Below are 16,138 nucleotides of genomic sequence, written 5' to 3'. Positions count from 1 at the left end.
CCTCGTAGCTGCAGAGTGGCAGCCACCCGCTCTGGGTGGGGTTTCCATTTCATCAGACTCCACTACTGCCTCTTACCCAGTCCTCACTGATCTCAATGCCCATCCCCAAGAACATCCCAGTCTACTCTCTGCTCAAAGCCTGAGAGCAAATCAGGCTCTGAGCCTGATGCAAATCATCACACCCCCAGGACCCACCCCAGATTCTTACCCAGAAACACTTTGTGAACCGAGAAAATCCTGCAATTCCCACTCCCCTTACCACGTCTGAAGCTCCCAGGTGTGTTTAAACTTGAGCTGGGTCCTCGGTGAGCAATGGGCGTGGACGGCACGGAGCCCGTGGCCTGCACAGCTGTGTCTGTCCTCTCAGCTTCCACTGAGCTGGGCATGGGGGTCCTGGGTTTCTCCTGCTTCTGCTGCACGGCCAGTTCCTGCCGCAAATCTGTGCCAGAAAAAGGATTCAGGAATTCAAGTCCTCAGCCAGGCGCAGTGGCTCATGTTTATAATGCCAGCACTTTGGGAGGCCAAGGCAGGTGGATCGCCTGAGGTCAGGAGTTCGAGACCAGCCTGACCAACATGGTGAAACCTCATCTCTATTGAAAATACAAAAATTAGCCCAGCATGGTAGTAGGCACCTGTAATCTCAGCTACTCAGGAGGATGAGGCATGAGAATCATTTGAACCTGGGAGGCCAGGGTGGCAGTGAGCTGAGATTGCTCCAGCGCACTCCAGTCTGGGTGACAAGAGCAAGACTACGTCTCAAAAAACAAAAAGGGAATTTAAGTCCTTGCTTAGGGTTGGTGGGGTGCAGGGAGAGAGGTTCAACAGTAGATACCAGTCAGAAAAAAGACCTACTGGGGTGAAACACTCCAGGTAGAAACCCCAAATAAAGGGAAACCCACAGGACCTTGCCTAGCAGACTTGGAACTCTACAGGATGTTTCTCTTGACTAACAAAATGGTTTCAGATTTTTAAAAAGCTATGACAGTGACACACTAATGCTTTTATTATTGAAAAAACAATTCCAACATAGCAGTGTATTTAGAACACTAAATGAAAATATGCCCGGGAGCAGTGACTCATGCCTGTAATCCCAGCACTTTGGGAGGCTGAGGTGTAAGAATCACATTAATCCAGTAAGTCGAGGCTGCAGTAAGCCATGATCATACCACTTCAGCCTGGGCGAGAGTGAGACCTCTGGCTCAAAAAAAAAAAAAAAAAAAAAAAAAAAAGAAAAAAAAAAAAAAAGGCCAGTTGCACTGGCTCAAGCCTATAATCCCAGCACTCTGAGAGGTCGAGATGGGAGGATTGCTTGAGGTCAGGAATTTTCAGGCCAACATGGCAAAACCCCGTCTCTATTAAAAATACAAAAAATTAGCCATGCGTGGTGGTGAGCGCCTGTAGTCCCAGCTGCTTGGGAGGCTGAGGCAAGACAATCGCTTGAGCCTGGGGGACAAGCAGTGAGTGCAGTGAGCTGAGATCACGCCACTGCACTCCAGCCTGTGTGACAGAGCAAGACTGTCTCAAAAATAAATAAAGTATGCTTTCCAGACTATCCCCAAATGCTCCTCCTCACTCATCATCACCATAACATGTGGGAGAGCTTTTCAACCATTGTTCTCTGAATTTTTTTTTTTTTTTTTTTTTGAGATGGAGTTTCACTCTCTTGCCCGGGCTTAAGTGCAGTGGCACAGTCTCGGCTCACTGTAAATCTGCCTCCCGGGTTCAAGTGATTCTCCTGCCTCAGCCTCCCAAGTAGCTGGGATTACAGGCACGCACCACCACACCTGGCTAATTTTTGTATTTTTAGTAGACACAGGGTTTCACCATGTTGTCCAGGCTGGACTCTAACTCCTGACCTCAGGTGATCCACCCACCTTGGCCTCCCAAAGTGCTGGGAATACAGGCGTGAGCCACTGCGCCCAGCTGTTCTCTCCATTTTCAAACATAAACTTTATACATATGTATGTATCTACTGAGCATAAAACAAGAAAATTTTTTATTAAGCATTACTGGAAACATACAATATGTTGTCCTGTGTATGACTTACTCTCCCCACTTCAGTGGTATGTCTTGGCAATGATTTTTGTTTTAGAGACAGGGTCTGACTCAGTCACCCAGGCTGGGGTGCGGTGGCACAATCATAGCTCAATGTAACCTTGAACTCCTGGGCTCAAGTCATCCTCCCACTTCAGCCTCCTAAGTAGCTGGAACTACAGACATATGCCACCAGGCCTAATTTTTACAATTTTCATTTTTGTAGAGATGGGGTATCACTATGTTGTCCAGGCTCATCTTGAACTCCTAGGCTCAAGCAATCCTCTTGCGTCCGTCTCTCAAAGCACTGAGATTACAGGCATCAGCCACTGTGCCTAGCCTTGGCAATCTTTCTACCACAACATTTCTATCTACTGTTCATTTTAACCATTAACATTTCACAAAATACATCTATGTACTTCATTTAACCACTTCATTACTGATGGACATCTAGGAACAACTACTTTATTAAACTTAAGAATTTTTACTTTTTATCCCCCACCTACTGGTTACACATTAGAAAGCAAATCGACGTTATAAATAATTAATTGGGCCAGCAACAGTGACCCACCCCTATAATCCCAGCACTTTGGGAGGCCGAGGCAGGCAGATCGCCTGGGGTCAGGAGTTCAAGACCAGCCTGGCCAACATGGTGAAACCCCATCTCTATTAAAAATATAAAAATTAGCCAGGCATGGTGGTGCACACCTGCAGTCCCAGCTACTCAGGAGGCTGAAGCAGGGGAATCGCTGAACCTGGGAGGCAGAGGTTGCAGTGAGCAGAGATAGCACCACTGCACTCCAGCCTGGACAACAGAGCAAGACGCCATCTCAAAAAAAAAAAAAAAAAAAAAAAAAAAGGTAAAAACAACTTGGACAATCCACTAATGAATGTCTTTTTTTTTTTTTTTTTTTTGAGACAAGAGTCTCACTCTGTCACCCAGGCTGGAGTGCAATGGTGTAATTTTGGCTCACTACAACCTCCACCTCCCAGGTTCAAGCAATTCTCGTGCCTCAGCCTCCTGAGCAGCTGGGATTGCAGGCACCCACCACCATACCCTCATGTTTTCTATTTTTAGTAGAGATGGGGTTTCTCTATGTTGTCCAGGCTGGTCTCAAACTCCTGAGCTCAGGTGATCCACCTGCCTCAGCCTCCCAAAGTGCTGGGATTACAGGTGTGAACCACTGTGCCTGGCCAAATGCCTCATTACAGTTTCAACATTCTACCTCTGGAAGTGCCAACTGAAAAAGAGCAAATGCTGATGAGGTTTCAAAGTTTTAGCCAAATATATTGGTTGCCATCAAGTCACAAAAATAATAGGCTAGCTGGCAATTCCACCAGAAATTTCTCCCCACAACATCTTTGCTTCTTAAGAGACAGGGTCTCACTCTGTCACCCAGGCTGGAGTGCACTGGTGCCATCATAGCTCACTGCATACTCCACCTCCTGGGCTGAAGCAATCATCCCACCTTGGCTTCCTGAGTAGCTGGGACTACAGGCACATGCCATCACACCCAGCTAATCTTTAAATGTTTTTGTAAAGATGGAGTCCCACTATGCTGCCCAGGCTGGTCTCAAACTCCTGGGCTCAAGAGATCCTCGGCCTCCCAAAGTGCTGGGATTACAGGTGTGAGCCACTGTGCCAGATCTCCCCACAAAACTCTCTGTTCCTACTGAGCATCAGGGTAGTTTGCTGTGTTTGTGAATTACAGACCAGGAAGCATCTTTCTGGAAATAAATTCTGCTGCCCAGAGGCAGAATCCCAATACAAGGACTTCATCTGTGAACCCCAAAGCTATTTCTCTAAATACCCATAAGGGGCCCTTACAGGGCTGGATGTCTGACTGTTCTCAGCTCCAGCCAGGGCCCAAGGCAAGAGTCTGCCCAGTGCAGTCCGACACCCTCTGATTAGACAACCTGGGTGCAGAGCAGGGTGTGGGGTCCCTGTAAAGATAATGCTGGGAGAGCTTGTGGGACAAGATGTTGCTCAGGTAGGGAGAGGGGACCATGCTGGTGAAGACACCAAGGCCTCCTGACCTCTGGCTTCATCCTTCAGTCTCTGAACAGATTCCAGGAGATTCTCTTTTTCATCAAGTTCACTTTCCAGGAAGGCATTTCTTTCGATGGCCTGATTCAAGCGCTGCTCAAAGTCTTCGAGAGACATGATCGTGGCGCTGGCGAAGAGAAAAGCAGAGTTATCCAAGAGGACAAACCGCAGCATCCCTCCAGCACCGCGGATCCAGGAGGTGCGAAGGGTCAGACACACCTGGGCACAAGTCCCAGCCCCAAACTTCCTAGATGCCACAGAGTGGGCCAAGTCCCTTAACCTTCTGGGGCATGGGCTCTTTACCTGCAGAATGGGACTCATCATAGCTCATGGGGTGCACGAGGCTGTCATGAGGATTAAATAAGATGCTGCCCACACAGCACTCAGCAATAAGCCAAAGCCCTATCAGGACTGCATGTGGCATTTGGTGGTTTGAGAAGACCACTATGCTCCATCTTCTCTTGCAAGCTCACAATGCCAACCAGCATTAAAAATAACCTAATATGACTGGGCAAGGTGGCTCATGCCTGTAATCCCAGCCCTTTGGGAGGCCGAGGCAGGTGGAAGACCTGAGATCAGGAGTTCAAGACCAGCCTGGCAAGCTTGGGCAAATGGCAAAATCCTGTCTCTACTAGAAATACAAAAATTAGCCAGTTGTAGTGTAATCCCAGCTACTTGGGAGGCTGAGGTGGGAGAACTGCCAGGAAGCAGAGGTTGTAGTGAGCCCAGATTATACCACTGCACTCCAGCCTAGACAACAAAGTGAGACTCCATCTCAAAATAATAATAACCTAATAAACACATATAACAACATGATTTTTTAAGACACAGGTTTTTGCTGTGTCTCTCAGGCCGAAGTGCAGTGGTACAATCACAGCTCACTGCAATCTCAAACTCTTGGGCTCAAGAGATCCTCCCGCCTCAGCCTCCTGAGTTACTGAGATTACAGGCATGAGGCATTGTGCCAGGCATAAGATGCACTTAAGCAGGTGGAAGAGATCATATTTAACCTCTCAGTGGAAGTTCAAAATGCCCAGTACCAGCCCAGCTGCCCTGCTCACAACCCCTTCTTGTGAAGGGCATAAACACTGTGGTAAAGGCACTGCCAAGTGCTGTAAGAAAACAATCTGTTATAATTCTGGGAAAACCACCTTCTCTGCACCTCAGTTTTCTCTCATGCAAAACAAGGATAGTAATAGTAACCTTCATGCAGGATTGTGGTGGGGAAGGGGTGGCAAGAAGTCATACAGGCCCGGACACGGTGGCTCACGCCTGTAATCCCAGCACTTTGGGAGGCCGAGGCGGGCGGATCACTTGAGGTCAGGAGTTCGAGACCAGCCTGGCCGACATGGTGAAACCTCATCTCTACTAAAAATACAAAAATTAGCCGGGCATGATGGTGCACACATGTAGTCCCAGCTGCTCGGGAGGGTGAGACAGGAGAATCGCTTGAACCCAGAAGGTGAATGTTGCAGTGAGCCAAGATCATGCCACTGCACTCCAGCTTGGGCAACAGAGTAAGAATGTTTCCCAAAAAAAAAAAAAAAATCCTACAGGAAGCACACAACAGATGTTTTACACATAAGCACACATCTATAAATTTTCAGCAATTTTTATTATTGACCCTGTGTCTGTCCCCAGACCTTACACAACCTGCTAACTGTATCCCACAGTGGTCAGAAGCACGTGTTTGGAGAGGAACCCAGGAGTTAACACCCAGCTCCTCCTCCACCTAGAACTCACTGAGTATCATTGCGGAACTTGATCTCCTTCATCCTCAGTTCCTTCAATCACCAAATTAATAACTGCACTGATTAATGGCTGCATCAGTTCATTTATTCAACATATCCTACTATGTCTAGATGGAGTCATACAAGTACCTACCCTCACAGGGTCTTTAGAAGTAGTGGATAGGATAAAGTTACCACAGTACCGATTAAAAACAACAAAGGGACAAGCACAGTGGTTCATGCCTATAATCCCAGCACTTTGGGAGGCCAAGGTGTGAGGACCGCTTGAGGCCCAGGGTTCAAGACCAGCCTGGGTAATATAGAGAGACCCTGTCTCTACAAAAAGTAAAAAAATTAGCCGTGCATGATGCGTGCCTGTAGTCCCAGCTACTCGGAGGCTGAGGTAGGAGGACTGCTTGAGCCCAGGAATTCAAGGGTACAGTAAGCCATGACTATGCCACTGCACTCCAGCCTGGGTAACAATGCCAGACCCTGTCTCGAAAAACAAAAACAAAAAACACACTACTACCAACAACAAAGGGATAATACTTCGGAGTACAATACCAGAAACAGTTAAAACAGCCCTAAGGTTGACATATCAAAGATAAAATATTCACATAATAATATGTAGAGTAGTACAGAATGCTTGCAGAAATGCAGACATACTGAGTATATAAAGAGGAAGACCCATTATCATGCAGAAATTAATTCTCCACAAGTTAAACTGATAAATTTAACACTGTCTTAATACGTTTCTACTGGGGGAATAAACTGGACTGATTTGAAAGATCCTGTGACAATGAAACAAGAATGATCAGAGGAACTCTGTAAAAGAGATCAGGGAACTAGCTCTACCAGAGAGTCAGAACGCACTACTATAAAGCCTCAACAATGAAGAATAGTATGCTACTGGTTGTAAGAACAAAGGAACCAAAGGTCCAGAAATAGACAAGAGTTTAATTTATAATAAAGGTGGCATCACAGATCATTGGTAAAAAGATGGCAGGTTCAGTTCTAGTTTTAGGGACCACTGGGTACCCACCAGGAAAAAATTATTAGATTCGTACCTCATACTGTACCCTAACACAAACTCCGACTGAATCGGAAATTTTAACAAACTCCTTATTTGGTCAAAATCTATTTTGCTTCTGGAATGCTAGGGAACTGGGGACCAGCTTCAGTGCCTTTTTTTTTTTTTTTTTTAAGATGGAGTTCCACTCTTGTCACCCAGGCGGAGTGCAACCTCTGCCTCCGGGGTTCAAATGATTCTTCTGTCTCAGCCTCCCAAGTAGCTGGGATTACAGGCACGCACCACCACATCCTGCTAATTTTTGTATTTTTAGTAGAGACAGCATTCCACCATGTTGGCCACGCTGGTCTCGAACTCCCGACTTCAGGTGATGCACCTGCTTCTGCCTCCCAAAGTGCTGGGATTGTAGGTGTTGGACACCATGCCTGGCCCTTCAGTGGCATTTCTGAATTTCCCTGCAACCTCGACACCCTGGGTTTAAGTCATCCTTTCACCTTTTTTTTTCTTTTTTGAGATGAAGTCTCACTCTGTTGCCCAGGCTGGAGCGCAACAGCACAATCTCAGCTCACTGCAACCTCCGCCTCTCGGGTACAAGCGATTCTCCTGCCTCAGTCTGTCAAGTAACTGGGATTACAGGCGCCTGCCACCATGCCTGGCTAATTTTTGCATTTTTAGTAGAGACAGGGTTTCACCATCTTTGTCAGGCTGGTCTCCAACTCCTAACCTCAGGTGATCCGCCCACCTCAGCCTCCCAAAGTGCTGGGATTACAGGCGTGAGCCAATGCGCCCAGCGATTCTTTCACCTTCTTACCTCAACCTCCCGAGTAGTTGTGACCACAGGCACAAGCTACCATAGCCGGCTAGTTTTTATATTTGTTTCTAGAGACGGGAGTCTCACTATGTTGCCCAGGATGTCCTCAAACTCCTGGGCTCAAGCAATACTCAAGCCTCAGCCTCCCCAAGTACTAAGATGACAGATTACAGGCATGAGCTATCTCACCTAGCGTATTTACTTTGAAATAAAGGTCAGCATGCTAGTTGTAACTGGAGTGAAAATTGCTTTATGTATTTTATATGTTGAAATTCTGTCAACTAATGTATAAAAGCATATTTAGTGCCTGTAATCCCAGCACTTTGGGAGGCTGAGGCGGGTGGATCACAAAGTCAGGAGATCGAGACCATCTTGGCTAACATGGCGAAACCCCATCTCTACTAAAAATACAAAAAAATTAGCCGGTTCGTGGTAGCGGGTGCCTGTTGTCCCAGGTACTCGGGAGGCTGAGGCCAGGAGAATGGCATGAACCTGGGAGGCGGAGCTTGCAGTGAGCCAAGATTGTGCCAATGCACTCCAGCCTGGGTAACAGAGCTAGACTCTGTCTTAAAAACAAACAAAAAAAACCCATATTTAGTATAACAGCAAAATATTGCAATAATTTGTGACTATGAAAGCTGTTAATTTCATGTGCAGTTATTGAGAACCTGAAAATACTTAAATAGGAAAACAGATTTTCAGTAAATATAAAGAGATATACTGGTTAGATAACTAAGAACATATCCTTTTTGAGCCAAAAAATGCTTTAAAAGTCCATGGAATTGGCTGGGCACAGTGGCTCATGCTTGTAATCCCAACACTTTGGCAAGCCGAGATGGGAAGATTGTTTGAATCCAGGAGTTTGAGACCAGCCTGGGAAACACTGTGTGACCCCATCTCTTTAAAAAAAAAAAATGTGTAAGTTGGACTGGGTGTGAGAGCTAACGGCTATAATCCCAGCACTTTGGGAGGCCGAGGTGGTGGATCGCTTGAGGTCAGGACCATGGTGAGACCCCATTTCTACTAAAAATAGAAAAATTAGCTGGGCATAATGGCACATGCAATGTAGTCCCAGCTACTCGAGAGGCTGAGGCAGGAAAATCATTTGAACCTGGGAGGCAGAGGCTGCAGTGAGCTAAGATCGCACCACTGCACTCCAGCCTGGGCTACAGAGCAAGACTCTGTCTCAAAAATAAATAAATAAAATAAAATGAAAAACTTATGAAAAGAGTAAAACTAGATTAAATCTATTTGAATTTTTGTAAAACTTTTTGGCATCTTAGTACTCATATGAAACAAAGTAACCTTTAGGAAATGTATTTAATTTTTAGTTACTTCCAATTAGGTCCTGCACACTTTTCAAGGTTATTCTTATACAAAGTGCCTGTCCTCAGTTAAAAGTGAGTAGTTTCGTTTGAGGGACGTATAGAAGAAGGACCATGAGAGCAATCAAACAGCTGATGGTGCTGAGAAACTCTTGTTCTTGGAGAAGACTGTCAAACGTTCTAAATATAACTATTAAACTTGCACAAAATTGTAACATTTTCAAGTCTTTAAAATAAAGCTTTGGAGCCTAGGCAACATGGAGAAACCCGGTCTTTACAAAGAATACACAAATTAGTGAGTCATGGTGGCACATGACTGTAGTCCCAGCTACTGGGGAGGCTGAAGTGATCGTGCCACTGCACTCCAGCAGGGGCGACAGAGAGAGACCTTGTCTCAAAACATAAATACATAAAACTTTGGTGACCTAGAACTTTATTGATTCTATAATGGTGAACTGGGCTTCTACCTCATCCGATTTTTAACACTAAACTATTCAGCATTTGGCCAAATTGTATTAACAAAAACAATGCACGTTTAGTACAAAAATAAAAATAGAAAAGAAAGAAAAAACAAAAATACTACAAGAAAACACTTGGCTAATTGCTTTATAAACCTTGGAGTGCACAAGGCCCTTCTAACTATGACTAAGAAATCTGACTACAAAAAAATCAAATACCAGCCTGGCCAACATGGTGAAACCCCATCTCCGCTAAAAATACAAAAATTAGCCAGGCGTGGCAGTGGGCGCCTGTAATCCCAGCTACTTGGGAGGCTGAGGCAGGAGAATAGCTTGAACCTGGGAGGGTGGAGGTTGCAGTTAGCCGAGATCCTGCACCTGCACTCCAGCCTGGGCCATAGGGCAAGACTCTGACTCAAAACAAAACAAATCAGTAACTCTGTACAATAAAATATACATCAGACAAAGCTGGAAACAAATGACAAACTCCCAATACTGTCCATTCATGTCACAGACAAATATATAAAAATCTCCTAGAAATCATGGGAAAAAAAACAACGAACAACCCAATTTTAAAATATGCCAAAGGCCGGGTATGGTGGCTCATGCCTATAATCCCAGCACTTTGGGAGGCCAAGGTGGACAGACCGAGTCCAGGACTTTGAGACCAGCCTAGGCAACATGGAAAAACCCTGTATCTACAAAAAATACAAAAATTAGCCAGGTATAGTGGCACATGCCTATAGTCCCAGACACTCAGGAGGCTGAGGTGGGAGAATCACTTGCCCCAGGAGGTCAAGGCTCCAGTGAGCTGTAATTGCACCATGGCACTCTACTCTGGGCAATGGAGCGAGGCCCAGTCTCAAAAAAAAAAAAAAAAAAAAAAAAAAAAAAGGCAGTGTTTAACAGTGCTGGCACAACTGGGCTATCCACCTAAAGAAAATAAAAATAAAATTGAACTTGTATCTTATACTAGATACAAAAATAAATTCATTGCAGACTAAGGAATAAGGATACAAAAAAATTAAACAATTAAAAAATATTGCAAAAAAAACACAAAACACATGAACAATCAAGAACCAAGGAGACTTCCCTAGTGAAATCTGCAAACCTAGAAGGTATTTAAAAAAAGATGTAACTGATGACCTAAAAATGAAAAATACATGTATAAAAAATTTTTTTTCAAAAGAGAAAAAAGGAAATATTTGTATGGAAAATGATACAATAGACAAAGTCAACAAACAAAAGATTACCACGGAAAAAATTATTTTCAATGCAGGAGAAAAGATTAGTAGTAAAAATATACAAAGGGCCAGGCACAGTGGTTCATGCCTGTAATTCCAGCTTTGGGAATCTGAGGCAGGTGGATCACTTGAGGTCAGGAGTTCAAGACCAGCCTCTCCAACATCGCAAAACTCCGTCTCTGCTAAAAATACAAAAATTAGCCAGGCGTGGTGGGGGGCGCCTGTAATCCCAGCTACTTGGGAGGCTGAGGCAGGAGAATCACTTGAAGCAGGAAGGCAGTGGTTGCAGTGACCTGAGATCACACCACTGAACTCCAGCTCCAGCCTGGGAGACAGAGCGAGACTCCATCTCAAAAAATATATATATGCAAAGAACTCCTACAGATTGACAAGAAAGGAATTTCCACTTCTGGTAATGACCAGGAAACCTGTATCAGATCAAACCTCGTATAAATTCTAAGTAAAATGTTTACAACAATAATCTGAGTGCACTGGCAGGAACTGGAAAACAACGCTTAGAAAAACAGAACAAGACTGGGTGAAGTCTGCATCTTTACAAGATTTTTGCCTAAAGCTCCAGGGATAGAAATCTATCACCGTGGGCCCCCCCACATTCTGAATATAGTATCTTCCCACATCTCTGGCCTCCCCCAAACCACACGTGCACAGAGCAGACACAAAGCAGCCCAGTTACGGCTAAAAAAAGCAAAGAGATTTCAGCTACTGCCCATCAAAGGGGAGACAGAATTTGGGCTGTAAGCTCAGCCAAGTAAACCACCTAAGAAAACCAAATAAATCAAGAACATAAAAGAATTCATCATCTCTGGCTGGGTATGGTGGCTCAAGCCCGTAATCCCAGCACTTTCGGAGACCGAGGCAGGCAGATCACCTCAGGTCAGGAGTATGAGACCAGATTGGCCAACATGGTGAAATCCCATCTCTACTAAAAATACAAAAATTAGCCGGGTGTGGTAACACACACCTGTAATCCCAGCTACTCCGGAGGTTGAGGCAGGAGAATCACTTGAATCTGGGAGGTGGAAGTTGCAGTGAGCAGAGATCGCACCACTGCACTCCAGCCTGGGCGACAGAGCAAGACTGTCTTAAAACAAAAACAAAAACAAAAAACAACTAATAGTCTGTGGGAAACACCACGTGGGAAACACCACTCACACTGCCTACAATACAACCCCAAAGTTATTGAATGCGTGGAGTATAAAGAAAATGTGACCCAGATGTTGAAAACTGCACAAAAGGACCTCAAAGCAGCTCTTACAACTATGCTCAAGGATGTCAAGAAACCTCAATAGAACAGAAATTATAAAAGAACAAACACAAATCCTACATCTAAAAATACAATATATTGAAAATTCAATATTTCATCTGCTATAATGGCAGATTGGAGAGAGAAGAGGGCGTCTATCAACTTGAAACTGGATAAACAGAAATTATTCAATTTGAAGAACAAAGACAAAAAAATAATTAGGGAAAAGAAAAATGAAGAGAGCCTTAGGAACCTGCCTGACAATATAAAAAGGTTATGTGTATAGATGGCGTCCGAGACGGACAGGAGAAAAAGAATGAGGCAGAAAAAAAACTCTCTGAGGAGGCCGGGTGCAGTGGCTCATGCCAGTAATTCCAGAACTTTGGGAGGTTGAGGCAGGAGGATCACTTGCTCCCAGAAGTTTCAGGCTGCAATGCACTATGGTGGCACCACTGCCCTCCAGCCTGGGTAACAGAGCAAGACCCTGTTTCCAAAAATAAATAAAAGAAAAAACATCTGTGCTTTTTTTGTTTTTTTGTTGTTTTTTGTTTTGTTTTGTTTTTGAGACAGAGTCTAGCTCTGTCACCCAGGCTGGAGTGCAGTGGCGCAATCTCGGCTCACTACACGCTCCGCCCTTCCCAGTTCACATCATTCTCCTGCCTCAGCCTCCCGACTAGCTGGGACTACAGGCACCCGCCACCACGCCCGGCTAATTTTTTGTATTTTTAGTAGAGACGGGTTTTCACCATGTTAGCCAGGATGGTCTCGATCTCCTGACCTCGTGATCCGCCCACCTCGGCCTCCAAAAGTGCTGGGATTACAGGCGTGAGCCACCGTGCCTGGCCACATCTGCGCATTTCACTGTATATAATTCATATATAAATTTTTTAAAAACAAGTGTTCTTATCCAAAAAAACTGCTTGGCTGAGAGTAATTCTTCTGTAAATGTTAGTCATTATCATTCTGCTAAACCACAGAACATCAGTTTAGGAATCACTGGGCTGGGCGCAGTGGCTCACACCTGTAATCACAGCACTTTGGAGGCTAAGGAGTTTGAGACCAGCCTGGCCAACATGGCAAGAGCCCATCCCTACTAAAGATACAAAAATTAGAATGGTGTGGTGGCACGTGCCTGTAATTCCAGCTACTCAGGAGCCTGAGGCATGAGAATTGCTTGAATCCAGGAGGCAGGGATTGTAGTGAGCCGAAATCACGCCACTGTACACCAACCTGGCGACAGAGACTCTCCGTCTCCAAAAAAAAACAAAAAACTGTTCTTTGAAAAAGCTTCCTTCCCACCTTAGGGGCTTAGCACAGGCTTGGTGTTCTGTCTGGAATGTTCTTGTCTCACACCCCTCCTGGCATCATGGCTACTCATTCCTCTGGTCTTAGCCTAAATAGCATTTCCCCTGGTAAGGCTCGCCTGACGCTCCCAGGCCAACAGCCAAATTAATACATCCTATTACACACCCCCACAGCACCCTGGGCTGCCAGCCTTGCTGCTGTAATGAAATTGCACTTCTTCGACTATTGTCCATTTCCCCCCGGGCACTAAAATCCAGAAGGGCACTGGCTTTGTTCTGCTCACTGCTTAGTTCCCTATACTCAGCACAGGGCCCAGTACCCAGCTGCTGGGGACAAAAAGCAGAGAGGAGAGTCTCCCACTCGTGCTTTTCCCTTCCACCCATACCGCTTGGCTCTTTCCAGGTCGTCATTTGCTTGCTCCAGCTCTCTGATGTATTTCTGCAATTGGTCTTTAATGGCTTTGGTCTGCGCGAGGTCATCCTCCAAGGCTGAGATCTGCCGGTAGCCTTCAGAGTGCTGCACTTCAAACTTCTCCTGAAGGACAACACAGACACTGAGTGAATGACTTAAGACTTCTGAGAAGGCTAGACACAGTAGCACACATCCACCTGGAGTCACAGCTACTCGGGAGGCTAAACTGGGAGGACTGCCTGAGCCCAGGAGTTAGAGGCTGCAGTGAGCTATGACTGTAACACTCCACTCCAGCCTGGGCAACACAGCAAGACTCCGTGTTTTTTTTTTTTTCTTTTGAGGCCGAGTCTCACTCTGTTGCCCAGGCTTGAGTGCAGCGGCAAGATCCTGGCTCACTGCAACCTCTGCCTCCCAGGTTCAAGCAATGCTCCTGCCTCAGCCTCCCAAGTGGCTGGGAATACAGCCACCCACCAACAATAGTGGCTAATTTTTGTATTTTTAGTAGAGACCGGGTTTTACCACGTTGGCCAGGCTGGTCTTGAACTCCTGACACCTCAAGTGATCTGCACGCCTCGGCCTCCCAAAGTGCTGGGATTACAGGTGTGAGCCACTGCACCTGGCCTGACCCTCTCTCTTTATGAAACTACTCCTCCCACCACACTCCCTGGGTGGGGCTCCAGGCTTTCTGTCCCACCCTCCCACCACAATCGGGAGACAAGCCAGGCTCAGTCAACAGAACCTTCTCTCCAGAGCTGACTCTTAGGCAAGTGATGTAACGTGGTGGGAACAGGCAGGTGTCATTCAAAGCAGGCACAACGGACCAACTGTTTTAATTATGTCCTGAGTGCCTCTGCCCCCTGAGCACCTTGAATCTTGCCTACTCTCAACAGGGTTGAGATTCCTATAGCCTCCATCATTCTTCAGACAAATCATTCTACCCAAGGTGTCCACAGCCAAAGCAAGCCACGTAAACCTCTCCAAGCCTCATCCACACGGCAACATGGGCCTCCTTCACACATATCATCAGTGTATTACAAAGAGAGTCACCAGCCCGGCTCACAGAGTGAGACCTGGCCTCTACAAAAAATAAAAACTAGCAGGGCATGGTGGCTCTTGCCTGTAGTCCTAGCTACTCGCGAGGCTGAGGTGGGAGGACCATTCGAGCCTGAGAGGTCGAAGCTGCAGTGGGCTGTGAAGGCACCACTGCACTCCGGCCTGGGCAACTCCCTGCTGCCTCAAAAGGAAAGAAATCATAATGACGTCCGTTGTTTGTGCCCACAACAATGGGAGGGCAGCATGAACTTGGTTTTAAAACAGTCCGCCATTCTGAATTTTTGATCCAGGACTCCCCGTTGTGACATGGAGAAAAAAGGAACAGTTTGATCTCTAGGTTATTTAAAAACATAAAGACAGGCCAGGCGCAGTGGCTCACACCTGTAATCCCAGCACTTTGGAGGGCTGAGGTGGGCGGATCACCTGAGGTCAGAAGTTTGAGACCTGCCTCGAAAACATGGTGAAATCTGGACTCTACTAAAAATACAAAAAAATTAGCCAGGCGTGGTGGTGCATGCCTATAATCCCAGCTACTCAGAAGGCTGACGCGGGAGAATCGCTTGAACACGGGAGGCGGAGGTTGCACCACTGCACTCCAGCCTGGGCAATAACAGCGAGACTCTGTCTCAAAAAAAAAAAAAAAAACCAGAAAAACAAAGAAAGAAAGAAAAAGAAGGAGGGAGAAAAGGAGGGGATAAAATGGGGGAGGGAGAGAGAGGAGAGAGGAAGGGAGACAGAGGAGAGAGGAAGGGAGGGAGAGGGAAGGAAAGGGAGAGAGATCTATGTTAATTACCAAAGGAACAGTCCAGCTGACTTCTCAATGATTCCCTGTTGCCAGCTGCAGCAATAACATCCATTACATACTTATTCTGTGCCACCTCCAGGCTAAGTACACCACCTATGTTGTCTCATTAATCCCACTTTGGAGACATGAACACTGAAGCTCAGTGACCTGACTAGCCCAGAATCAACTGGTAGCAAATGACTGAGCCAAGATCAAACCCCAGCCTCCTGAGCAGGTGTCCTTAAGCAATTATGCTAACCAGCCCCAAACCATTTCAATCCAGATCACCTGCCCACTCCCGAGCTCTCTTGATTCTGTTCCGGCTCTGCTTCCAAATTACTTTCCTTCACCAAACACCCAGAGCCAGGTGTGGTGCCTCATGCCTGTAATCCCAGCACTTTCAGGTGGCAGAGGCAGGATTGCTTGAGCCCAGGAGTTCTCGACCAGCCTGGGCAAGACTCTGCCTCTACAAAAAATGTGAAAACAGCCAGGCGTGGTGGCATGCACCTGTAGTCCTAGCTACTTGGGAGGGTGAGGCAAGAAGACTGCCTGAGACCAGGAGGTTGAGGCTGCAGTGAGCTATGATCACGCCGCTGCACTCCCGCCCAGGCCACAGAGTGAGACCACGACACTTAAAAAAAA

The 16,138-nt window shown here is 46.1% G+C and overlaps 1 protein-coding gene across 23 annotated transcripts in view, besides 1 other annotated feature; it reads right to left on the bottom strand.

The window, feature by feature from the left end:
- NDE1 (nudE neurodevelopment protein 1) overlaps positions 1-16,138 on the bottom strand; it is an 82,972-nt gene that overhangs the window by 34,771 nt on the left and 32,063 nt on the right. For 17 of the 23 annotated variants that reach the window (NM_001143979.2, XM_047434261.1, XM_047434264.1 and 14 more), the window contains 3 exons: positions 13,634-13,782; positions 4,072-4,208; positions 260-439 (listed from right to left, as the gene is read on the bottom strand). In NM_001143979.2, the coding sequence (NP_001137451.1) occupies positions 260-439; positions 4,072-4,208; positions 13,634-13,782 (466 nt within the window). The remainder of the gene's footprint in view (positions 1-259; positions 440-4,071; positions 4,209-13,633; positions 13,783-16,138) is intronic. The other 6 variants (XM_047434259.1, XM_047434258.1, XM_047434263.1 and 3 more) reach the window with 1 other exon arrangement.
- Positions 9,157-9,451: an enhancer, noted in NCBI's record as "tiled region #12074; HepG2 Activating DNase unmatched - State 25:Art, and K562 Activating DNase matched - State 5:Enh". NCBI's record gives its function as "activates a minimal TATA promoter and a strong SV40 promoter by Sharpr-MPRA in HepG2 and K562 cells {active_cell/tissue: HepG2 | K562}" and the evidence as "EXISTENCE:reporter gene assay evidence [ECO:0000049][PMID:27701403]".

The sequence above is a fragment of the Homo sapiens genome, chromosome 16, assembly GCF_000001405.40.
Source record: "Homo sapiens chromosome 16, GRCh38.p14 Primary Assembly".
Taxonomy (NCBI): Eukaryota; Metazoa; Chordata; class Mammalia; order Primates; family Hominidae; genus Homo; species Homo sapiens.
This window is presented reverse-complemented; position numbering and strand designations above follow the sequence as displayed.